Raw genomic sequence first — 27498 nt, 5'->3', positions numbered from 1 at the left:
TTGGCCACATGGGTCATGTGGTTGTTTTCTTTTGTGCAGTGCTTGTTAAGTATTTTACCCTTTTTCTATTGGGTTGCCTATTAATGTCATATTACATTGCATTTCAGACTTAACACATATACAGAGAAAGACAGAATGAAAATATCTTCTCCCATTAGTGTACTTTCACTTTCCTGATGGGGTCTTTGGTAAACAGAATTTCTCAATTTTAATATGGCCCAATTTATAACTTTTTTTATATTCTGTTATGGTTAGCTCATTTTGTGTCCTGCTTAAGAAAGCCTTGGCTACTCCAAGGTCATGCATGTGCTGCATATAAGCATTTTCATTTAATCTTTCACATCTAGCCCTTCACTCCAGATGGAGTTGATTTTTTTTATTTTTTCGCAACTGGGGTCACGTTGCATTTTTTTTCAACAGGTGAAGGCACTATCTTTCCCTCTGCACTGCAGTGTCATGTTTCTTGTAAATCAGGTGTATGTGTGGCTTCATGTCTGGATTCTCTTCTGCTCCACTGTTCTTTTTGTCTCTCCTTATGTGGATACCACACAATCTTTATGACTGCAGTTTTCTAGTCCACCATGTTATCTGGTAGGCTGTCTTCCAGATTTATTCTCTTCCTTTAAGACTGCTTGCTCTTCTTAGCCCTGTGCATTTCGATATAAATTTTAGAATCCACTGTCCATTAAGTCAGGCCCCTTACCCCCCCAGAAAAGCATGCTGAGGTTTTGATTATAATTTTTAGGTAGATGTTTGGTTGTTGTTTTGATCAAATTGAGGGCTTTCCCCCACTATTTCTGGTCTGCAAAGATTTTTTTTTTTTACTTAAGAATACTGTTGAACTTTGTCAAGAGTAAACATTTTTGCATCTTTGGGATTTCCCTTAAACCACTGTTATGATTATCTCACAATGTTGATTTTATTGTACTTCTTTCCTGGAAACACTAAAATGAACCAAAAATACAAGAGGATTGCGAATAAAATTCCATTTACAATAATACTAGGAAATAAATCAGCACAAACTCATGAAGGAGATATGTGAGTTTACACGTATCTTCCCAGATATCATACATTATGCATATTTCATTTTAGAAAAAAGAAGAGGAAGGAAGGAAGGAAGGCAGGAGGAAGGGAGAAAGGAAGGAAGGCAGAAAGGAAGGAAGGAAGACAGGAAGGCAGGAAGGCAAGCAGGCAGGAAGGCAGGCAGGCAGGAAGGCAGACTGGAAGAAAGGCAGGAAGGCAGGCAGGCAGGAAGGCAGGCAGGCAGGAAGGCAGGCAGGCAGGAAGGCAGGAAGGCAGGAAGGCAGGAAAGAAGGAAGGAAGGAAGGTAGATAGGTTCCTGAGCCAGAATCCTCAACTGAAACACTGAGTTCTGAAGACATGAGGGGACACAGGAGAGATGAAGCTCTATGAAGGACAAGTCCCAATAGGAGAAAATAATGTCAGGGGTTGGGGGGTGGGTAGCATAAGAACTACATTTTCAGCTACCAGCTGCCTTCACTTTTTTTCATACTTAGAATTGCTCCCCTCCCCAATCTGTTACCAAGCAAAAGTCAGGCCAAGAAAAGGTTGCCATAATTCAAAAATAAGTAATAAACTGGAATGTTTAAAGATAGTGGGTTGACATTGTCCATAAAAAGTAAGAAACAAAGAAATCAGAAAGAGAATAAAGGAACACAAAAACACAAATACACAAAAGGCAGAGAAAGTATAACCACAGAAAAATAAAATTACCCCCAGGTGATGTAAGGGAAAGTTAACAATTTTTTTGTAACTTGAGTAAGTTTAAAATTATGAGCAAAAATGAAATCAAAGAAGAAATCATAGGACACAGGAGGCATGAAAGGAGTAACAATGAGCTGGCAAAGATTATTCAAAAAAAAGAAAAAAATAGCTATTGCTGAAATGAAACCATGTTAGAAGCATCAAGCAGACAAATAGTGCAGAAATAAACGGGACTGGTATGAAGAAATAAAGCAGAAGAGAGAAAAAAAGGCAATAGATGTAGAAGAGAGATAACTAGGAGCTAATGTATGGGTTGTTATTTTTACAATAGTTCTCACCTGGGAAAGTAATTTTCTTACAAGAGGGATATATCAATCTGGCTTTTTAATTCTATTCTGCAGTTTTCAGTGTCAGAGGTAACTGAATGATTTCTTCAGAATTGTGAGTGAGGAAAAGTGTGATCCCAAAGTTGTATAACCTTCTAAGTAGGGCATAATACCAGGGACACCTTCACAGAGAATGATGGTGAGTTGTGCTTCTGGAGGTACCACAAACATTCCATTCTAGGTGAAAAATGCCTCTGAGGGTTACATAATGGGGACATTTGTCTGCCTTGCAGGTAATGGAAAATCCTCTTAAACATGCATTAACAGGAAAGACAGGCACCCATGAACTTTCTTGCAAAATTGTTTTAAAGACAACATAGTGTCAATCAATACCTAAGTAAAGGTGAATAAAGCATCTAGGTCTAGACAAGCAATTGTATAAAAAGTGTTAAATGTGTCCCTATAAGAGACCACCTGAGCAGGCTTAGTGTGAGCAACAAGCCTGTTTATTCACTTGGGTGAAAGTGGGCTGAATCTGAGAAAGGTGTCAGCAAAGGGTGGTGGGATTATCATTAGTTTATAGGTTTGGGATAGGTGGTGGAGTTAGGAGCAGTTTTTTTGCGGGCAGGGAGTGGATGTTACAAAGTACATTCTCAAGAGCGGGGAGGATGTATCATACAAAGTACATTCACAAGGGCTGGGAGGGTGTATTGTCACAAGGGTGGGGAGGGTGTTACAAAGTACATTTACAAGGGCAGGGAGGGTGTATTGTCACAAGGGCAGGGTACATTCACAAGGGCGGGGAGGATGTATCGTACAAAGTACATTCACAAGGACGGGGGAATATCACAAAGTACATTATCACAAGGGCAGGGGGATGTCATGATGGCTTGACCATGGTGCGGCCAGCTTAGAGGACCTTACAAAAAGGAGAATGGATTTGATGCTGGGAGTGTATGGAATAAGGACTACCCTGTACTTTATCAAAGTATGTACTGTGAATTTTTAATAATAAGCTTGTATGTTTTTAAAAAATAATTTACAGGGCCAGGCCTGGTGGCTCACACCTGTAATCCCAGCACTTCGGGAGGCCAAGGCAGGCGGATCACGAGGTCAGGAGATCAAGACTCCTGGCTAACATGGTGAAACCCCGTCTCTACTAAAAATACAAAAAATTACCCGGGCCTGGTGACGGGCGCCTGTAGTTCCTGCTACTCGGGAGGCCGAGGCAGGAGAATGGTGTGAACCCAGGAGGCGGAGCTTGCAGTGCACTTAGATCGCGTCACTGCACTCCAGCCTGGGGAACAGAGCAAGATTCCATCTCAAAAAAAAAAAAAAAATTTACAAAATCTTATTTTTAAGAAGTCACCTTGTTTAGTTCCTATTTGAACTAATACTAAATACAGCCCTTTTCAAATGAAGACTAGTGTTTCCCTTCAGTGCCATCAAATATTATCCTAACCATTTACATTTGTATATTGTTTTAGAATTGAAGAAAGTACTTCTGCAGATATCATCTTGTTAATACTCACAGCAACCTAATTCCACTGGGGCGTTACCTCTGTTTTAAATAACTTGTCCCAGGTCGTCTAATTATAAAATGTGGACCTGGGATCCATTTGGTACAAAGGTCAATAAAAAGTGCTTAAAATACTTTGCCGAATTTATGTTTTTGGAAGCTGTGGCTAAAATAGAAAGAATCAGGTAAAAGACTCAAAGGAGTTGTTTGAGGTACTATAATAGCTAGGAGTGGGTGGGGATGGATATCATTATATAAAATTTAGCTTCAAAGTCCGTATCTAGCAAGCTGTCTTTCCTGTGAGCCTTTTGGGTTGGTAGGATTTTGCCATTTTGTATTCTCTTTGAATTGTAATCTATTTCAAAAAACCAAATAATTTGAATAAACTTATTTGTTGAACAGCTGTTCATCTTTGAAACCAAAACCGGACTGGCTTTGAATATGAACTCTAAACAATCTTGAATCTGCCTCTTGCTTTTGAATTCATCAAGGAAATAAAGTCTATTTTGAGTTTGATAATCATTTCATGATGTGTTTTTTTGTTGTTGTTGTTGTCGTGTGTGTGTGTGTGTGTGTGTGTGTGTGTTTTAATGTTAACATACAGATAGCTAAGAATCCAGATACATTCAAAGCAAAGGAACGGAAGATTAGAAAACTAGAATTTGCCAGGCAGGCTAGTGGGAGGGTCCTTTTGTGATGAAATGTTGCATAAATAATGCCAATGGGGGTCTAAATTCACTGTTGCCATGGAGACCTTTGTGCCTGGCTGAACTCTATTCTTTTCTCTTTTAAGACAGCAACCACTGGGCTTGTGGTATCTCTGATATGTCTTGCTTTGCTTTCTTTTAAACTGTTTGCGAGTGAAAGCAGAAATTACCATAGGATAATTCAGCGTCCTGACTTTTTCGAGGCTGTTCTTCACTCCCTTCTCGGTTTTTGAGCTGCTCTGTGGTTCCTTTTAGCCGTGGTGCAGGGAGGGAGGAGGGAGGTGGGTAGGATGCCAGGAACCGCCTGCTCCACAGCCTGGGGAAGGAGGGAAGAGTAACCCTTCATCTTTGGGACTAGTCGTCTTGTTTGCCTAGACTACAGTTTTCAAGTATTTAAGGACCATTTATTTCAAAAGGTACAGTAAAGGTAAAAGACAAAAAGTGAAAACTAACCGCGTTTGGTTTTTCAATGCTTTCATTATGAATGTTGTTTTTGTGATAATTTTAACTAAAGTTTTAAAACTGCAGGTTAAAGTTCTGTATAGAAAATATGGTAAGAATTTATTTCTGACCTCACAGTTATCAATTTATTCAGCATCTGAACATTGAAATTGTAAAACCAAATAACCAAATTAAACAGAAAGTGGTTGTAAGAATTCATGGGTCATTTCCCTATTAACTAACCATTATAACCATTTAATTATTGTTTTTAGTAAGACTTGGTGTGTCATAGATATATACTTTAGATTTTATGAAAGTTATGATTATCCATGTAAGTAATCACATACAATTCTGTGAGAATTAAGTAAGAGTTAATTTGGAAATTGTAGGTCTTTTTTTTTTTTCCTTCGATGCGCAGTTAAAGGAATAACCCCATCCAGAAAGAAATTATTCATGGAGAGTAAAGGAAAAAAAATCACCCAACCAGAGTCACCATGTGAAGTAGCCAAAAATTTAATATACTGGGCAGCTAACTTGTTGCATAGCTTTCTCTTTTTGGCAGAGATTATTTGGTTCTCAGTGATAAGTTTATACTAGAACTAGAATACAATAATTACATGTTTTGAACACTCTAAATGGTGCAGGTGTAAATAAGATGCACACACCCCTTAATTATAGAAAACCTTTACCAAGTGTTTCAAGATTGCTTTTATTCAAATAACTCATTGAGAAAATTGTTGCCCAAAATTTACAATGGCTTCATAGATTTCACCTGTGCCACCACTGTAGTTAAAAAAAAAAAATTGTGATACCCAACAGATTAAAGAAACAAATTGATTTTTTGAAACCAGTGATTGAATAAAATGACAATCTGTGGAATTATATTTTAGATTGTTATATATTTAAGTTGGCTGTACCTTGTAGAATTGTGAGTGCGGTAAAATGGAATGCCTGAGAGATTCTTTAGTATTTATAAAGTCTTTATAAAAAAGTCCTTAAGTATTTATCTCTAAACTTAAAGTATTTTCAAATGAATAATAATAGTGATACAAAATGATTTTCACCTTAATTTTGACAAACACAAGATAAAACTTATGTTTGATTAATATTATATGAAATTTGAATGACTTTGTAAGTTATAAACTAAGTGTGAAGAATGACCATGTTGACTTAAAAATGATTTAATTTTATCAGAAACATATTTTCATGTTTTAATATGTTAATTGCCTACCCATGGATATTTTTATTTTAAAGAAACTGAGGAAGAAAGGCCCTTATTATATCAGAATATCAGAATAATATCAGAAGAAAGATATTATTCTGAGGGCATCTCTTACTAAGTATTTCATTTCAACTAATTATTAAATAAAAGTAAAAGTTTATGTTTATTGTCTTAAAGCTAGGAAATCTTTTTATTTTTAAGGCGTGAAAGTCAATCTCAATGCTATGGATTTAGAAAGTGATTTAAGAAAACTTTGACCTTTGGAAGTGTTTTCCACATTGACTGTAATTTAATAATTTTGCTGAACTATAAAAGTAAATGACTATGAAGTCTCACATCAGGAATATAGTGTTTGGGTGCTCACATTTTTTGTAAATCAGTCTAATAGATTTACGTGACACTAAGTCTTCAAACTATAGGACACAGTATATGTATGTGATCCAAATAAAGAGTTTAAAAACGCAATTAAGTTAACTCATTGATGTTATGATTATGTTTGCCCATTCCCTTATATTTCCGACTATAAATATTTTAAATTTGAACACTTACTTTTTTTTAATCCAGGTATTTATATTATGTGGATATATCTGAAAACATACTAAGTAGGCCCTTTAGGTGGCATTTTAAACAAAAGCAGAGAGTCAAACATAATAAAAAAAATTGTGAGAATTTTCTAATGCCATGTTACAAAATCTTTTCTGGGGTGTTTTACTCATAAATTGTATCCACACAATTAACAAAAAATAGTTTCAAGTGTTTAAAAATATATATTTGCCCATTTGACTCACAAATTTTATCCACACAATTAAGAAAAAAGAATTTTCATTGTTAAATATATATGTATTTATTTGTCCACACACTTCCAGATGTGGTTCAACTCTTATGTGATGATAATGGCCAAGTTGGAAAATCCTATCTAATAAGTCTGATCAAAAGTTCCAGTTGGAATGGTGTGGGAACAAAGATTTATGTTTGTGTTTCTACAGGTAGCTTATTAACGTGTGAATTCTGATTTAGAGTTGAGTTTTGTGGCTATTTTAGAAGTCTTATATTTTGCATTCGAAATGTCTTGTATTCAACAAATGTTTTTTGAGTCATTCCTCTGTTCTAAATATTGAATTGCCACATATAAAAATGGAAGAGACATTCCCTAGGGATCAAGAACTAAAAAGTCTGGTGGGATCCAGATGTGAGAACTAGTACCTGGGATGTAGTAAAGTAATTGCTGTGCTGGTGTCGTGGCCAAGGAGAGCATGAACAGTGAGATAGCTTATATGATGCATTTATATGTGTTTATTAGGTCCTCCCCATGTAGCTGAGATGAATAAATATTAAGTGACACACAAAATAACCTTTAATAAATGAATATAAAGATTATTTTCGAATAGCAGGCAAAGGAATCCTATGAAAATGTAAATCCTATCATGTTACTACTCTATGCAGAGCAGAAGTCCCTGCAGTGGCCAACAAGGGCCTCTGTGCTCTGCCACCAGCCACCCATCCCTCCCACGCCTCCCAAGATGTTTCCTCCTCTCACTTTTTGCTCCTGCAGAGGAAACTCCTCACCTCTCCTAGAACATGCCCCTAGAACTTGGATTCTGCATTTTCTGTTGACTTTGCATGAAGCACCGTCCTAGCCCCTCCTTTCTCCTCACCCCCCAGCCCAGGTATACACACGCCTCACCTCCTCATTCTTCCCCATCTTTTCTGTAATGTCACCTTGTCAATGACGCTGTTCTTAATTATTCTACTTAAGTTGTCTCCCCATCGTCTTATTTTCCTGAATTGCTTTTTTAAATTGCCTTGACCACAGGTAGCTCTATGTAATCTGTTTATTTGGTTCACTGTCTGTTTTCTCCATTAGAATGTAAACTTCATGAAGGCAGGGATTTTTGTCTGATTTTTTTCATTGATGCATTTCTAGCACTTAGGCTGTGCCTGGTGTATTTACTGAACAAACAAATGAGAATCTGATATAGATAGATAGATAGATAGATAGATAGATAGATAGATATACATAGATAAAATATATAAATATAGTGTGTTATATATATAAATAAATATAGTGTGTTAGAAAAAATACATTTTTTTCTAACATCAAATATACAGTGTTCTTTTTCCCCCGATTAAAAAAGTGAAACAGATACAGTAGTGAGTATTGAAGGTTATCACTTGCAACCCCGTATTCTCTCTTAAGTAGGAGAGAAGTGGTCAGTTACAGGCAGCAGATTCACAATTGCTTATGTTCCAACACCCTTCTTACTCTGCATCGGAGCAGAGTAAGACCTGAGTATTTCCCTTCTATGGCATGGTATATGATATCAGACAGACTCTTAGTGAAACAACCTTAAACAGGGTGGTCTCCTGTTACCACCCTCCAGCTATGGAAATGTCACAAATGCCTTGACTTCTGTATGCTCTGCCTGTTCCTTCCACTGTGAAAAGCATGGCCATTATTGTAATGCCGCAGCTCTCCCTAGGGTTTTGTGATTTATCTGCATTTTCTCCAAAGTATGTTTTCAACACAGAACACATGAAGAAGTATATATAATTTCTAAAATACTAAATCATGTATTTCTTTATGTTTCTATCCTCTATTAGCATGAGAAAAATGATGCAGTGGCCTGGATTTTTTACAGAATCATATTCAGTCAGTAGCTCTGATCAAGTTCTGCTCAAAAAAACAAAACGTATCTTTAGGGTCCTAAGAATTACCAATCAGTGTTAATCATGTGCATGGTGATATTATTTGGCCATATCTAATACTAGCTTACCTAGAAAACAGAGCAAAAGTGGGTGCATTTTTGTTATTTTTGAATCAAATTACGTGCTTCTATACCATGAAGTTCATGCTACCTTTGATATGTTTAATTAAACTCAGCACATATGATTTTAAAAATAAACTCTGTAATCTCTAGGAATTTAATAAACACTGCATTGTGGCTAATTACATTGTGATCTTCTCCAGTGTGTAAATATTTTTCAACATTATGGGCGTTTCTTCCTCTAGGAATAAAAAATATTGAGTTAGTCGGTGACTTTAAACAGTACTAGCTTCCTCCTCCCCCCCCCCAAAAAAAATATATATATATGTATATATAGAACAAAAACTAATTTTAAGTGTTGGTCAACTGTCTAATTGTTTTAGTACAAGGCAAAACGATTATTAGAGCCTTTCTGCATCCTTTCCGCCTCCACTACTGTTTTGCATGTATAGAGTAACATTTGCATACGTGTTCCTACAAGGAGAGCAACTCTGAAGATGGTTATTTATTGCATAGCTTTCGCATTAGTCACACGTTCCTTCTTCATGAATTTTATCTGCCTCAGTTCATTTCAAGCCCCCATGCTCTTCTGAACCAATTTCTGGTAATTTTCATCAGCATTAATGGAATCTCTTCAAGAGATACTATATTCAGTGTTGAAATGTTAAATGTAATTAAATTTACTTGCCGAGGTGGGGGATTAACTGCACCCACATTATCGTGGAGTACTTCTTCCAAAAATTGGAAACCGTAAAAACAGAGGTGGAGATGAAAAAGAATTAAAAAGGGAGACTTTCAGTTAATTGTGAGGCTGTGTCTGTAGAATCAGACGTAACCCTGAGGTGCTGCCCTGGCCCTGACTTTAGTTTGTAGATGCTGGTACTTTTGGGCATGTATTTGGCAAATAGAATGCATAGATATTGACCAGATGTCATGCATATTCCATTTAGGAACTTATTTTATCTCTGGGTGTGTAGAATTAAATAGGAAATTTACATTTCTTCATTTAAAAATTTATAAACCTGACCTCTCTGTTTATTTTGTTATTATTCTGAAATAAAAATCAATAAAATTATTTTGCACATCCAGTGTGCTCTTGATTATTTACCCATAATATCGCATTAAACTTTCACAAGGGCCCTACATGTTAGACATTATCTCAGTATGATTGATGTGAAAATTTACGCTAAGTAATTATTCCATTACATGGTATTTCTGAGATCACAGAATTAAATGAACACAGGATTTTGTATCCACGTGTACTTAACTGAAGCTGACCCTCCCTCCTTCAGCCTTCTTCTATCCATGGGCATTGCTCAATTTAAGCATCTCACTTAGATTTTAGAAAACCCTCCTAGATTTCTGCCTGTTCTTAGACCACTCTCACTGCATACGCCCCTTCTGTTTTGTTTTACGATTTACCTCCATCCAGGTGCTCCAGGCACTTTTCCCTTACAAGAAACTTTTTGAGCCACTGATCAGCATGGAGCTCAGGATGATGGTGGATACCATGTGAATTACTGGTGTCAGAATTCCCAGGGCAACTGTTATAAATGCAGCTTCCTGACTCAGTTGCATTGTGGCTGCATAGAGGCTACGCCCATCCTAAGGAGGGCAAGTGAGTCTATCCCTGTCAATTTTATGTAAGAGCTTACTGTTTGCATTCATTTTTAGAAGGAAGCCAGAAAAACTTTATCAGCCTTGCTTAAAAATAGCATTCATGTCTTTGAGAAACTTTGAGAAAACGTGAGTTTTCATGAGATCCAAAATTCTTAGTGTATTTAACCAGGTATGAAATAGGCCCCTTCATTGTAGTGTAGAGGAAATAATATGAGATTGGTGGTCAGAGGCTGTTTTCTGTGCTAGCACCGACGCATTCTAATTGTATGATTCTAAGAAAAGATGCATGTGTTTTTAATATAACTTTCTCAGAGTAACAGTGGCAACCTTCTTATCACTGTGGTCCAGGCTCCATATGATGCTGTCTATGAAGTGTGTGGTGTCTTCCTCTTCCATCTGTAGAAGAATATTTTACTGGAGCAAGATTAGGACTGAATATTTCTATATGTAAACCTTTATTTTTTGATGATGTGTTGGTGTTATTTTAGAAAAGGTGGATAGTCACAATTTTTGAAAGCTGAATGCTGACGGAATTTAAGTTACAAGGTGAATATTCGGCACAGGGAATGCACTGCTGTTACTTCACTGTGCTTGATGCTCTCACCAGAACATCTGCCAGCATTTATGTGGTGCCAAAAGGTGTAGTTCAGTGACGGTCGTTCTCCATTTCCTTGTTTTTCTTTTCTTTCTTTGTTTTGGTTTTTGGTTTGTTTATTTCCTAACTGGGGCAATATATTTTGAGAAAGAACAATGGAATAGAATCAGGTCCCACTCTGATGTGAACTTTATTTCATTTCATTTTCTTTTCCCTGGAATGTCCCAAATGGGCTTTAAAGCTGCTCATTTTAGTCAGTTAATCTCTCTCCACTTCAGTTTCCATAACTGCAAAATTAAAAGCTTCAATTCTATGATCCCTTCCAAATGAGTAGGAATTTATTGTCTCTCATACAGGGGCTTCCCAGTGCCAAGTTAGGGTATACTGTAGCTGTAATGCAGACCAGATGAGCAGAAATGGGCTCTCACTTCATTCTGTGGCCTATTCTGTGTGGGTGTCTCATCCACTGGTCTCCATCCTTTGTTAATCTCAGTCCTTGGTCAGTAAAAGTCTTCTGAGTAAGAACATCCATTTTATGCTCATTTATTTATACATGATACAAATACTACTGTACTAACATTTGTGATATAAAAATATAATAAAAACTAAAGCAGAGAACAGTACATTTAAACATAAGTTCAAACCGTCCCTTCCCCTTCCCATGCCCCACTTCAGAGGCAACTGCTGCCCCTACTAGCTAAGCTGCATCGCTGAGCATATTGTAAGGAAGTTAACAATCAAATTTGAAACCTGAGATATGAGAAATAGGTAATTTATGAAGCTTAGACATTTATCCTTGTCCTGTCTTGATTATTACTGGAGTTGGGGGTCAACCAAAGATGACAGTTATATAATTTTGAATGATTGCTCTTGGTTTGCAAAGGAGTCCATCACCACCAGAGATTCTGCAGATAGGGAGCCAATAAGATAACGTTGACATCACAGTGCAATCCATCTAGGGGCTGGAAAACAATCCAAGGTGTTTGCTGATCTGTGTATGTTGATGACATATAGTAGACATATGTTTATATATCCCTTTGGATACGCTGTTTAATGGATCACTATCAACCTGAAAAAGAGTCTGTGGCAAATCATTGAGCTCTGTACTTTCTATTCAAAACTATAATCAAAGACTTGGACTAATATCTTCATAGCAAGCTATAGAATTTGCAGGTTACACAGGGCTAAGAAAATATGCATATGTTTGATACAGAATTCTGTTCCAAGAAGAACATAAAACGCTGAAAAATATAAGATAAAAAAATAAAAATTTGGGATGCATGTCCCACCTTGTCTGCAGGTTCAAAGTTATCATCTGAAGAGTCTGTAGCGTAGGTAAGTCTGGTTTGACAGGGGTTCAGAAAAAAAAAATTTATAGTTGAATTCAGGTTTCCTATAAAGCAGCTATTTCATAATGGGAAGAAAGCTACTGTAACCTTAAGTTATATTATTGGAAGTTTAATTTCAAAGTTGTAAGAAAAGTGATACTTTTAGGCCATATGTGAAATCATATATAAACTGTTGGGTGTTTTGAGTTGTGGAAGAGGCCATGGAAAACAAGAGGGCAATGCAAAGGTGTGGGCAGAGGAGGAGGGGGCTTCTAAAAACAATGATGAAACCTCTAAACTACCCCTGTTTGAATTACAGAAGAGAAGATTTTTCAAATGGTTTTTCAAAGTCTACTGTGTCAGTGAAAAAGTCAGTCTCACGCTTTGGTAAATTAGAAGCCAGAAGTAGAACAGAAGATAGAATCATTTTATTTTTATAAGAAACCATACTATGAATTTGATTACCAGAGCTATCCTTCCATGGAATGGTATGCATTGGGGTTTGAACTGCTTTTGTTGTCAACTTTCATTGAGAAACTGCTGGAAAGGCTGACGCTTGAAGGAGAAGGATGATGAACTAAATGACTTTCTAGATCCCATCCACATATAAAATTCTACGAGACTTTAAGACGTTGCATCTAGATTGATTAGAACTAGATCAGATTTGGATATGTAAAACTCTAGAAAAGACATAACAATATATGCAGTACCCATTTTTCTGCATGCTAAGGTTTCTGCAGGTAAGATGTGAATTTTGAAAACACTGCCCAAGTGAATAATGTACACTTGTTATGTAAGACAGAAAATAATAAGAAAGTTAGATTATTCCCATAAATATGTATTCATTCTTTACATAAAACTCCATGGAAAATACCTTAAATTATATACTGAATATCTGTTTCCTCACTTAGCAACTGGTTAACCATGGGTAGTCTATCTCTCTATTTCCCCATCTGTAAAACAGAAATAACAGTTATAATAATGGTGATAGTATTTCCTGAGTCCCTAAAGAGTAGTCAGTCCACTGTGGGAAAAGAAGGAGGACATTGCTTTTTGAGAAAAAAAAAAATGGCCTAAGTTTATTAAAACATGTTCTCCATGTTGAGTAGAGTAGGATAGGATTTAACTCATTGGGCTTAAGTAAATACAAGGTCTACAGTATTTATTAGATATGCATGCTTTGTTGACTGTTTAATTTCTGAGGAGACTATTGCTTTTCCCACTTGAACAGCAAGGGAAAATTGTTTGGGAAAAAATTGGCCCAATATGTAGGGAACAGCTGCCGGGATGATGCATAGCTTGCTGCTGGACGCCGCAGCCGGGGAGGCCAGTGGTGATCAGTCCAGCCCTCTCTATCAGGTAAAACTGCAGTTGATGGAAATTACAGTCCCTAGTTTCAGGGGACACAAAGATAATTTGGTTGTTCCTAAAAAGGCATAAACAAAATATTGGCTAAGCACAGACAGATGTTAAGGTTATACTTTGTACATGAATTCATGTACTTGAACTCGGTTTAATGGAGTTGAGCTTATGGTGTAAGATCTTGCAGCTCATTATAACTAAGTTGTTATGGGCTGCTAATTTGCTAGAAGCTGCTGTATCATGAGCCAGCCCAACTGCCTTGATGGGTCTCCTGGTAGTTAATATGGATTAAATGTGAATCTTTTATTTTTTCCCCTGTGGTCTCACATAATGATATTAGCTTGTCTACGGTGTGACAAATTCAGTGTACCAAGAGCATCTGGTACACTATTCTTTATGACTGAAAATAAGCCTGCAAACTTGATAATGTACATCCATTAAGACACTTCCGCACATTGGAGCAATGTAGACGGGTGATGGCTGTGGAAGGAATCTGTTGGTCACAGTTCATTTTGCTCCAACTTATACAAATGATTTCAACGGTGGTACATTTATCACTGCTACATTCTTACAAGTTCTTGTTTGATTAGCAGGATGCAAATATGGATCTATCCTTTGCTAGGCTGTACTTAATTCGTTCCCAGCAGAGGAATTTTAAAAAGTTAAAAAAAAAAAAAAAAAGGAAAGGAACTAAAACCTTCACAGCTTGAAGATAGGTTTAAATTCAGTCTTTTGAAGTTGATCTGAGAACGGATCACACTGAAATGTTCAAATCATTAAGCTGCTTTAGTAGAGAGAGTATTTAATTGAATGCGCAGTATTGTAAGAAATGAACAGTAAAATCAATCCTGTTGTCCCACATGGGTTTAAACAAGTTAATATAAGAATGTTCATGTTTTGAATATATTACTTCCTAAGCAGCAGGGAAATATATTTCTCAGATGAAACAAAAGCGTTGACATGCATACATATATTACATACCTTATCAAGAATAGGAAATACCAATGGGCCAGCTATCTCTGTATTGCCTCTGCTATCCCACTAACTGAGTGATACTGATTTATTCACTTAACCTCTCTGACTGCCAGTTCACTTTACCTGTGTGATTGCCAGTTCACTACTCTATTTATTTATTTATTTATTTATTTATTTATTTATTCATGTATTTGTGATGGAGTCTCGCTCTGTCGCCCAGGCTGGAGTGCAGTGGCACGATCTCAGCTCACTGCAACCTCTGCCTCCCGAGTTCAAGCGATTTACCTGCCTCAGCCTCCCAAGAAGCTGGTACTACAGGTGCGTGCCACCGTGCCTGGCTAATTTTTGTATTTTTAGTAGAGACGGGGTTTCACCATGCTGACCAGGCTGGCCTCGAACTCCTGACCTCGTGATCTGCCCTTCTCAGCCTCCCAAAGTGCTAGGATTACAGACATGAGCCACTGCGCCTGGCCCAGTTCACTACTCTTTACATAAATGGATTATAGTTTATACCCTAAATCAATCATTGGGTCATTGTGAAGATAAAATAGAGTAACAATATGGCTGTTAATTGTACAAATAATAAAACTATTATGCTATTACGTTAGGGTACAATTTTAATAATAACTCCCTCTTACCTGATGTCAGCCCTATGGTAACCTCAGTCCCCTCAATCAACAGTGGATGTGACAGCAGCAATTAAAATTCACTCTGGAGGCAATGAGGAGCAGGAGCTATGAAAAATAACACACGGAATGGGTGAAAAAAAATGTCAACATAAATGAAGCAGAAGAAACTGAGACTATTTTTTTGGGTGTAAGAACCTGTATCTACTGGTGTCCATAGCCCCAGTGGACTTTATTGTGTTTGCCTAATTACGGAAAAGCTCTACTGTTGACAGGGACATTTAGGGACTGGCAAACTAACATCCTTGCAGTGCAATATAGTGCAAGATCCATGTTTACACTATTGACCCTCAAATGTCAAAAACATAGTTAAATTTTATTAACTATTTTCTTGTCAGTGAAACACATGAGTTCCATAAAATTTCAAAGGGTTTCTTATTTGGAGTATGGAAATAGATGAGATGTTGCATCAAATTCAGTAAACGAAGAAAATTAGGATCATTGTTGAATATCAACCTTTTGCTTATGTCAAACTTCCAATGTAATTTGCCTGATGGTAAATTTGCCCCTAAACTCCAATAAGATGGAATCTAATTGCTCTCTGAAACACAACCACACACATTCAGTATTTGTCAAGGTCTGTGCTTAAATCCCTGCTGTTCTTTGAGCCTGGAATGACATCCCTTTCACATGGTCAAATAATAATCTCCCATTGTCCGTCTCAAATACTAGTTCCTGCATGTGACGTTGCCCTCCTTGTCCCCACACCCTTCCATCTTTTCTAAGGGAAAGTCATCTTTGAAATTCATTTGCATCTCATTACAATTTAGCATTACTTTGCATTCTATTTAATGATGTGTTGATTTCAACTATTTTACTAGACTTAGAACTGTCAACAGGATCCACACCTGAATTAATTTTATGCTCGTATCTTCCCTGACTGCGTCATTCAGCACCTTGCAGAATGCTTTCCACATAAGCATCTGTTGCCCTACTGCTGTTTTACTTATTTATTCCATAAATGTTGATTTGATACCTAATATGTGATAATATACCAGAGATTTCGATGAGAAGATAATGTCATTCTTGCCTTGAAATAAAACATAATAATAAGTCAAAAATAATTGGAACTTTTGATTAGCTGCCAGGCAAAGTGCGAAAGACTCAATACACCCCTGTGGTCATTGTCAGTGAGAAGATGGCACGCTCTCGGCATTTCATATATATACTAGAAAACTCCGACACTGTGGGTATTTAACAGAAATTCAGCAGCAGTACCACCATATTGTTGGGGGCAAATTTTGATTTCCAGTGGTCAAATTAGGTAACTCACTGGGAATTCTCCAGCCACCGAAGAGACTGGAAACTATTCCTAGTCTTGAAATACTGACAGACATTCAACTCTCAAAGAGCTACTGCACTCTGAAATTCATTAGAACGTTTTAGGTTAGGAAGAAGGCAAATGATGAGAAAACAGACTGTTCTGCTAGGAAGGAGGTAAATGATGAGAAAATGGATTATTCTGCCATGTAATGATGTAGGATAAAAATATCTGAAAGTGTCAATTTTATGACTGAGTTTATTTTTTTTAATGTAGATTTCACAATTTGGACAGAGAGCTTTGCAGCTAGGTTGATAGAAATCAAGTATCTACTGATGCTTTTCTGAAAAGTCAGAACAGTGTTCTTCCTCACTCTGAAAAGTTTTACATACATTTCTTGGTGGCCAATAAATGGAGCATAACTTTGAAGATGCTGTCATCTTCTAATATAACTGTACTGTAATAAGTAACCTTTTAAAATTATATATATTTATATATAATTATTTAATCTTAATTGTATGTAATTTAACTATATTTTATATGATTAATATGTTAAGAAAAATTAATTTTTATCCTTTGGAAATTAGGATTCACTAAAATATTCTAAATAAATGAGTAACATAATCACATTTGTTATTTTTCATGAAAAATTTTGGCTGTATTTTGAAAAACAGATTGAAAGCAAGTATGAACAGGGCAAGAGATTAATTAGGATACTGAGTTTAGGAATCTGGGCAAGAGATACTTGTGGCCAAAACTGGAGTGGTATTAGTGCATCACTCGGCAGATTAAAGATGATTTGTTATGTATGTCTGGAGAGGACAGAGTCTAGAAAGATTTGCAAATCTGTGGATCAGGCAACTTGGGCAAATGATGCTGTCGTTCTGTGAGATAGGAAAATGAAGAAGTGGGAGTAGGTTTGTAGGATTTGGTTGATTTTGGTTTTGGATGTGAACCTCTTGGTTTTGGGAATGAATGTCAGTGGATAAACACCAAGAACTAGTCATTGAGGCTTTCGGAATGGATGAGCTTGTTCAGAGAAAGTATAAGAATCACAAGGAGAATGGTGGCTTAAGAGAGGAAGAGACAGCCACAGAGGAAAATGAGAGGGTCAGCAAAAGAGGTGGGAAAGAAAGCAGGAGGTGGTGTGTCAGAAACCATCAGAAGAGTTTGTGCGGGAAGGAACAGGAGACCAACAAAGTAAAATGCTGTTACCAGGTCAAGTCGAGTACATGATGTTTGGTGATAAGAGCATGTATAATTATTCCATTGATATGGATATTTAGCTATTTAAGTTTCAACAAAGAGCATTGAGTAAGAAAGGATAAACATCATACTTTGTCACTCAAATATTTCTGTTCTGAAAAACATTATTCCTAAAACGGGTTAGTTATACAAAGGATGTACAATGATGACACAGAGAGTAGAGGGGAGAGAGAGGTAGAGTGAGGGAGCAATTCATGGAAAAAGATCATTGAACAGAAATTCTGCATTGGAAGTGCTATAAAAGTGATCTAATGTCATATTTTAGATTTTCCCAGATCGATAGTTTGAGTTTGCTCTTCACTATTGCACATTTTCTCATATGGATGCAAACATTATTTGTTGAGGTCAAGTAAGGCATCCATCCACTCATCCATCTATTCCTCATGTACTGAGAGCACTCTATGGTAGATGAGAAGAAGGTGATAATGCAAAAGCATGGTGCCTGTCATCAAGGCATATATGGTCCAGGAGAGGAGACAGGAATGTAAATAACAGAATTCAGGAAAGCGTTGTTAGTGCTATGAGAGTGGTGGACAATTCTTCTCAGGTGCTGAGATTGAGGGTGAGGTCAGAAATGTGCATATATATAGAACAGATGGCAATTAAATGAAGTAATGTGATTCATCACTGTAAAATTGAAAGGCAAAGGCATTTTTGCTAGACTTGAGGAACAAGGAAAGGATAGAGAAGAGGAAATGGATATTTGGAGCAATGAGTGAATAAATGCAGATTGAACACATGCAAAGTCCATTTGAGGAAATGCAAGTCATCGATTTTGGCTGAGGCTAGGATTCTGGTACTTTTGTCTTTCACCCTTTAAATATAGAAAGGCTGCTTTCTCTATTGTGGTATAAGTATAGGCAAAGATGTTGGTGTACACCCCCTCTCTGTCTTCATTGCCCTTGTTTGGTATATCTGAGTTTGGCAGTGCTCCTCTTAAAAGTTAAGGGCCATTATTTGAAGGAATTATTTCAGTTGTAGTGTGAACTTGAACAGTACAATAAGTATAATTCTTTCTGTGGTTGGACATAATAATTCTAATATTTTATTTCCAGGCAGGCGAGGAAAACTAAAATAAAAGAGAGTGTGAAATGATGAGCTATAGTTCTTCCTCATTAAAGAAATTTGTGCTATTATTTTTGCTGTATTGTTCCTGATTATATAGCCTTCATTAAAACAGTGGAAATAAATATTCCTAGAGCTTGGAAGCAATGGGTTTCTGAACTGTTAGTGTGGGTTAGACCGCTTGTTACAGTTCCAGCTAATCTTTGGGAAGCTACTTAACATCTCTAAGTCTGAGATGTCCCCGACAATCAAATGCCTACCTTATTGAGTCAACATTGGAATAAATAAGTTAATACATGTGAAGCACTTAGCAGAATAAGGTACATGATAAGTAATTGCTTAACATATTAACTGCCATTATGTGCTGTTATCATAAGTAGAATAGTCATCCCCAAGCAGATATGAGCATAATAATCACTAATGGAACATTTTCAGAATGCACATGCTGGGCTCTGTTGCCTCCACATTTGTGTCTTCAGTTCTCGGGGAATGGACCCAGGCATTTTAAACAGTTCTAGAGATTATTGTGATAGAGTTTAGAGTCACCCATATAATATTGCTACTAATTTTTTAAGCATAATGGAATTATACATCATCTTCAAATACCAAGACATGTAGCCTTTGTTAATTTCATGGAGTCCTGTCAGCTAGTGAATTAAATAAACTGTATTAAACATGCTTTATTTGGCTAACAAGGCATTTGGCAAGAGAAAATGGCAGAGCAAAAGCAGATGGAACACTGCAGAATGAAGGAGTTGGAGAGAAAGAGGTGTTTCGTTATATTTTTATTTTATTGAATGTGTTCTGGAAAGGTGCTTATGATTCCATTTCCAAGTTCTGATTCCTGTCATCTGCTGCCTTGCTGGGTAACCCAGGATGACACTGTCGTTGTTGAAAACATTAATCTGTCAGTTTTGTAAACTTTCACAGACAGCTCTTTGCCACAGTTTCTGACTCACCAATGAGGTGTACACGGCTTTACAGTTGACATTGATTTGTTCCATTCCATCTTGACATCATGGCTTGTTCTGTCCAGATTTGTTGGACACTCTGCTGTAGGCTTCCAATTATTACCCTGTCATTTGTGCCACTTCCCCTTCAAACTTGGCTTGGCAACATGTTTCAGTGGGGTAAAATTAACATTGCCAAGAGACGTGGCTGTAGAGTCAACTCATTCATGTGAAATGGGAATTAAAAGTGATGTAAGAAAAAAGATCACCCAGGCATACTCAATGGTATTAATTGTTGGTCAGTGCAGAGAGGAGAGACACCAGGCGGCAAGAACTCACCTACAGAGTGGTGATACTATCATATCTACTTATGATAACAGCACATAATGGCAGTTAATATTTTAAGCAATTACTTATCATGTACCTTATTCTGCTAAGTGCTTCACATGTATTAACTTATTTATTCCAATGTTGACTCAATAAGGTAGGCATTTGATTGTCGGGGACATCTCAGACTTAGAGATGTTAAGTAGCTTCCCAAAGATTAGCTGGAACTGTAACAAGCAGTCTAACCCAGAGTGGGAAACTAGGACAGAGAAACCACAGTTCTGTACCTTGATCCTCTCCCAGGTAGAACATCTAAGGAAAAAGTTTAGACAATGATAATGACTGAAATCTGCTTTCTAATTAAATACTTCAGAGCACTTGAGTGGTTATTTTGCTCTATTATTGCAAACATTGTCACTAAGTCAGACTCCATAAAACCATTCAATCTTAGCTGCAGAAGAAATACAGAATTGCTGTTTCATTCTCTTATTTTACATGCAGCTAACTCGATCGTGGTGGCATTTGTGCATCTGAGAACCAGGTCTCATCTATAGACAGGATGGGCCAGACATAGGGATAGTGAATGAAGCATGGGGACTGTAGCGGGCCACTGGGGGAAATAGATAATTTGCTGAGACTCTGTCAGGAGCCAGTGGGTATATTAGCTAGTGGTCAGTCGTAGGAAAGGAGGAGGGAAGAAGTTGAAGTGGAGCAGAGGGATGTATCAGGAGGATGTCATCTAATAGGCCCAACCTACCATCCAGTGGAGCCACCAGCAGGAACAGGTGTGGAGAGGCAGAACATCCTCCCCAAGAAGGTTGAGTAGTCAACAAAATGCTTCTGTAAAGGCCCAGGCCTAGAGAAGGACTTCTCTCTGTATTATTGACCCAGGGATTTGCTCAAAATAGAACTAGGTATGAACCCAAATTTCAGAAATAGAGGACACAGCAGGAAAGTTGACCGAAACCTGAAGTATGGGACTTCAGACATTCTTTAAATCTTTCTAAACAGGAACATGATCAGCATCTTGGTGTAGGATATGGTTATGCTTAGAAGGAGAGCAGAGGGACCAACCTATGCCACTAGAATATTCCAGCTCAGGGGTTCAGCAGATGTCACAAAGACCTGGGGCGTTTTAGATTCACTCCTGCTCTGACCTGTCCTTCTTTGCCCTGAGCTTGCCAAGTTATTTTAAAAGATGATCTGACTGCCAAATAAAGAAGATGCACTGAACCCTTGTGTTAACCCCTGCTTCCTTGCCAAAATGGCAGTAAGACTTTTAAAAGGGGTTATAACCCCCTAAACATAGAGAGTGGGTAAATAAAGAACCATATTTCATCAAGTTTGAGAGGCCATCAATTTTTAGGGTTACTTAAAGCACTGTGAAGAAAGCAACAGTACTTCCAATAAAGAGTCACACACTATCAAATGCAAGTCATCCCAATTCATGAGCTGGTAAACCCAGAGATATTAAAGTGTGAAAAATGTGTGACTTAGAATGGATGAAAGAAGGTAGATGGACAAAGTGGGAAGTGACTTATTATACCCAAGGGAATGGAGTTCTAAGCAGGGGGGTGAGTTAAATCGTAGACCAATTTACACAGGAAAATCTCTCGAAGGTGCGGGGTGTGGGTGCATGGGGCATGAAGTATAGTGGTAAGCTCCGGAGATTGGCTGAACACTAATTTAGATATCAGCTAGATCTCCAAATCCCCTACCCCACCATGCCAAAAACTAGAGGCTTTTTCTCTGGAAGGGGTGAAATTAATTCTCTTGACGCAGGGACCACAAGAAAAACTGTTAAAAGTGAGGTATTGAATACAGTTTTACTTGCTAAATTTTGAGACCCACCCCTCCTCAATCTTGCTTAGCTTTGCGGAAAAAGAGCAGGCAAATGTTTATGCACAAAGCTGGAGCTAGGAAGAGCCTTTTCAGGGGATTCTGCATGATGTTCTGCACACAGTGGTTCTCCTGGAAGGCACAGCTAACAAGCCTCACTCATGCTGGCGCTCATACAAGTGTCAGCTCTTTCACCCCAACAGTCACATATGAGCAGACTGCCAGGGAAGTTGAGATACCTTCAAAAATACATATTTAAAACAAACAGAAAAATCATAAAATAGGAACTATGCAGAGAGAAGAAAACAAACATGACCACATTAATACTGTGGAGAAAGAAGAGAGATGATTTTACATCCATAGAATAAATACCAGATGCAAATTAAAAGAAATATTCAGAGAATAAAAACTAGCTCCGAGAAATTAAAAGCATAATAATAGCAATGAATTATTCATTAGAGACTTACATGATTAAATTGATAAAACTTTTCAGAAAGTAAAACAGAAGATAAAGAAACAGAATAATACAAGAGAAGAAGACTAAAGGAAGAAACCTTGAGGACTAGATTTTAGCATCTGAATAATGAGAGTTGAAGAAAAAGCAAGAGTAATGTTAAAAAGGAGGAGAAAAGCATTAAAAATTTTCAAAAGAATTGCTTAGAATAAACAATAGGTTTTTGATCGAAAGATCCCTAAATAAATAGATCACAAAATATCCAGCAAACATGTCTAAAAATAGAGGTATATCAAGATATGTCACCACATACAACATGTTTTCTGGGAGAAAGTGAAAGCAGATTTCATAAAAAAAAAAGAAAAAAGAAAAGAAAACCTCTGAAAGTTTTCACACTTCTCAACAGCAACATTGGAGAGTAGAAGATAATGAAGCAAAAAATCACTGTCTCAAAACCCTGAAGGAAAATGATTTCCAACCTAGAATTCTCTATTTCTTTACTAAGTCCTATTATTCACTAAGTGTGAGAGTAGAATAAAAACATATAAAGATGTGCAAAGTGTCAGAACATAATACCTCTCATTCATTCTCTCTATCTCTGTGTATCTGGAAAGACATTTTCTACCAGAAAAGGAAATAAAGTAGGAGAATGAAGAAGACAACTCATAGAGGAGACAGGAATCCACGGAAGAGAGGGACAAAGGAAATCTCCCGCCTGAAGATGGAGAGAGATCCCAGAAGACAGCTGTGCAAAGAAGGCAGCCAGGCCAGATTGGAGCAGGTCAAAAACTCCAGGAGAGATTTCTTCAGTAGTTGACATATTATTTCATATGTTTGTGTGAAGAGAAGTTTTATACAAATCGGAGGAGTTTGGGGTTTGATAAGTCCATAGACAACTGAGCAAAGGAACAAAAAACTCCAAGTTCTTAACTTAGGGAAAACAAAATGTTGTATGTGAATGGAAATGAAACTGTGCAAAAAATAGTATGTGCATCTTGTCTTAGGCTGTTTAGGTTGCTATAACCAAATACCATAAATTGCATTGCTTATAAATAGCTGAAACATTTCTTACAGTTCTGGAGACTGGGAAACACAAGATCATGGTGCAGGCAGATTTGGTGTCTGGTGAGGGCCCACTTCCTGGTTCATCTAGTCACCTCCCAAAGGCCCTAACTCCTAATACCCTCATCTTGAGGGATAGCATTTCAACATGTGAATCTTGGGCAGGGGATGGAGACACAGGCATTTAGACCATAGAAATGAAGAAGCCTCAATATTGTTAAGACTTAACAATTGTCCATTTTTATACTTCCTTAAATCTGGATGATACCATCCCAACTAATGCTATACCACAAAGTTAAGTAACATATTTATTGAGGGAAGTAATGAAACTATGGCGATGAGTTTTCTGATTTCAGTTTTCATACTAAGTTAGCTAAGTCCCCCCAAGAGACTTTACATGCTTTTATCTACTTAAAAACATTTAATAAACTCCATTTAATTAAACCAAATAAATCATTAATTTAGGCTGTTTAGGAAAAGTTATAAAATGTTTGATAATTTTTCTTATAATAATCCTAATGTATTATATGGTTCAATAATGTGCTATTCTAGGATGAAACCATTTAAATCTGGTTCTTTGTACATTTTAATGAACTTTTGCATCATATCTCCAATACTTTTATGAATATTTATGATCTCTTACATAAGTTGATTTCCACATAGTGGGGAGATTTAGGCTTTCTAACACTGCTCTGCTTTTTCTTATAACTTCTTTTACCATTGGATGTCCTCTCTAAACCACCAGGTACTCTAAATTCCCATGAAATCTTAATGTCTCTGGGCAGTCTCTGTATTACATTTTATGCAGCCTGATTTACATCACCACATCTCCACCAGAATTACCCAGGAGAAGGCCATACTAGTGATCCTTTACCCCAGAATTACTCTTCTATTTATTATCTTGGCTTCTATTGTTTCTTCTATTCTGCAAATCTAGATAATCTTTAGAGATATTTCTTCTTTCTTGACAGTCTCACTTTTGCTGAATTAGTTTAGTACTACATATTTACTTATAACCAGAATTACAAGTTTCAGTAAATATATTCACATAGTTCTAATTTTCCAGTTAACTTCTTGTATACTCACCTGCCCTTATTAGCAACATCCCTCTCTTGAATGCTGTTTCATCTCAAATTTTCCAAGAAACTCAGCAGCTTATTCATTCCTGAGAGGTCTGTCCTCCCTCAAACCCCAAACTGTGTTAGAGATGGATAATGTCATCTTTCCATTTACCCCACAGTTTAAGTATCCTCCAGTGCAAAAGAATCTCATCCATTCTTGTGAAAATGCTGTGTCTTCTCTAGATGCCTTTGGGCCACAAAAATGTCTATACCAAGGAGAAAAATTAATCCTCAGTTGAAAAATCAGTCAGTCTTTCCAAGTTAGAGAACCTCCATTCTAGCTCTTCTTGTTTCCATTCACAAGCTCAGTTATCAACTCCAAAGAGAATACCATTCCAGTTCAGGGTGGTTACATCTTGACAGATCCTAGCCTCAGTGGTGTGGCAAGGCCCAAACAGTTTTCCCTGTAAGCCATAGACCCTTGGCTTGGGGTAAGGTAGGAAATGATTGCCTTGAGAGAGTTTCCACACAGCAGTGCAGAAAGGAGGAAGCCTAGCAGGGTCTCAGTAGTTAAGACAGTGCTGAGAGTCCAGGGAGTTCATGGGTCCAAATATCAGAAAGGCAAGGTGCCCTTTCTCATATTCAGCAAACAACTTAGCAGCCCATGTATGTAAGGAAACTAGCAGAGACCAGGGAAAGAACCATCTGAAAGGATGTGAGGAAACTGTGCCTGGTACTCACACAGAGGTGGGAATGTTTGCCAGCACCCACCAGCCAAGCTGGGAGAACCCATAGTCCATGGGGCATTGAGTTGGGGCTCAGAAGTGTCTTGCCTTCATAGGGCAGGATGATTAGCCCTAGACTACATGCTGTTCTGCTCCCCCTAACAAATCTAAAAAGCAAGGCTCAAAAGTATCAAATTGCTTTCACATAACTTAATGTGCTTCATAAAAGAGCTGAAGACAATTATAGGAATACAAACCTATCCAGAACCCAAGAAGTAAAATGAAAATGTCTGTGTTGAAAGATGATTACATGTCTAGAGGAGCAGAAGATATGACCCAGATTGAGGAGAAAAAAGTCAATCAGCTGAAACTAGCACAGATGTTAGAATTAACAAAAAGGATAATTAATATAGGTATAATCAACATGTGCAAAAAGTTAAATAAAGTCATGAATGATACAAAAAAGACCCAAATGAAATTTTTAGAGATGTTTGATTCATCAGTGTCTGATATAAAAATACACTGGATGGGATAAATGGTAGGTTAAGCATTGCAGAAGCAAAGCTTAGTTAACTTGAAGTCAACAATAGAAACTACCCAAATTAAACACAAAAGGAAAAAAAAAATTGAATTGCAAGAGAATCCATGAACTGTGGGACAATTCCAAGTGGCCTAAAATGCACTTAATTGGAGTCATTGAAGGAAAGGAAATAATGGAGAACAGAAAAACAATTCATAAAGAAATAATGGCCTAAAATGTTCAGATATGCTGGAATCTATAAAGCCAGATATCCAAGCTGAATAACCCAGGCATAAGAAACATGAAGAAAACTACACCAAGCAACATAATCATCAAATTGCCCAGTGCTTCTGGTAAAGAGAAAATCTTAAAAGCAGAGAAAAATTAAAAAGAAACACTATATACTGAGCAGAGATCGTGCCACTGCACTCCAACCTGGACGACAGAGCGAGACTCCATCTCAATTAAAAAAAAAATAAAAAAATACAAAATAAACACTATAGACATATAGAGAAATAAATTTAAGGGTAACTGTATTTTGTGGTGGTGGTGGTGTTAGAAACAGTGCAAACAAGAGGATGACAGAGCAAAAACGTCTTCCAAAATGAGAACCACATATATACCTTTTGAAGGCCTGTCAAGCTGGAAGACTTCTTTACCCAAAGAACTGCACCATAATAACAACTCTAAGGTTGTTCTTTCAGAGGGAAGGAAAATAAAGCCAGATGCAAATACAGATCTACATGAATGGATGAAGAGTCTTGGAAAATCTGACTGCGTGCTGGGAAGGAAGCTTGCAAACGAGAAAGTCATCTCCCATTGTCACCCCTCCTGTGAGACTGACAAGAGGTGAAACCATGGAGAAGTCACCACCTGAAGCGGGGATGACCAAGAGCAACATCCGTCCTAGCGGAAGCCCCTGGTTGATGAATTCTGACTCCAAATACTGCACTGTTTCACCATGTTGAACTTCGGTAACACAGGAAAGTGGGCAGCAAATCAAAGTACTTTAGATGCTACAAAGAATGAATTTCCATCGACATGTGAGGAGTTCTGTATGGTCTTCAAGTATTATGTTTTTAAAAGTGTTATCAACTTAAAAGTATGGGTGAGTTTCCTGTTTCACAGAGAGATTTAAGATGCAATACGTTAAGAAGTCTAGAAGTGAAAAAATCTTCTAAAAGTTGGATATTATGAAAAGGGATTTCCAGAAAGAAAAAAAAGCAGTAGGACTTTAAGAGAGAAGAAGAAGTTAGATGCATAAAATACATTCAGCCGAGATCTTGTTAATTTCTTAACTATAATACTTTGATGCCCTTCAGAATATGTAAGAATAAAAGTTTGAGGTTAAAAAACAAAATGTTCCCTCAGTTTCAGCACCTTAAAGGGAAAATTAAGCTCTCATTTACAAAGTGTCTTTTACTTTGTTTCCCAAAATAATGTCAATATTAAAATGTGCACCTATGGAAAAGAGCCAGGATATTTTTAATGTATATAGGGGACACACCAGATTCTACTTTTTAAAGACCTCATGCAAGAGTGTCCTGGGGTAGCAAGTAAATAAAATCTTATTTTCTGGAAAGATATATCCCTGCAACCTTTTGAGTTTAAATTCTCCAAAACTGACTCCTGAGCTATTTTTCAGTATGAGAAAGCATTCTTGTTTCTTATCCCCAAAACATAACTGTTTAGATAAT

General features: G+C 37.2%; 1 protein-coding gene across 11 annotated transcripts in view; it reads left to right on the top strand.

Moving 5' to 3' along the window:
* CTNND2 (catenin delta 2) overlaps positions 1–27498 on the top strand; it is a 932611-nt gene that overhangs the window by 311008 nt on the left and 594105 nt on the right. For 3 of the 11 annotated variants that reach the window (XM_005248253.2, NM_001288716.1, NM_001288715.1), the window contains exon 1: positions 4522–4693. The exons of 6 other annotated variants lie outside the window; for them this stretch is intronic. The gene's annotated coding sequence lies outside the window, so the exon portion shown is untranslated. Of the gene's footprint in view, positions 1–4372; positions 4705–27498 lie in introns of those variants that run through there. 2 more of the 11 variants (NM_001364128.2, XM_011513967.3) reach the window with 1 other exon arrangement.

Source organism: Homo sapiens, chromosome 5 (assembly GCF_000001405.40).
Source record: "Homo sapiens chromosome 5, GRCh38.p14 Primary Assembly".
Classification (NCBI taxonomy): domain Eukaryota; kingdom Metazoa; phylum Chordata; class Mammalia; order Primates; family Hominidae; genus Homo; species Homo sapiens.
The sequence above is the reverse complement of the archived record's forward strand: the minus strand, read 5'-3'. Positions and strand labels throughout refer to the sequence as shown.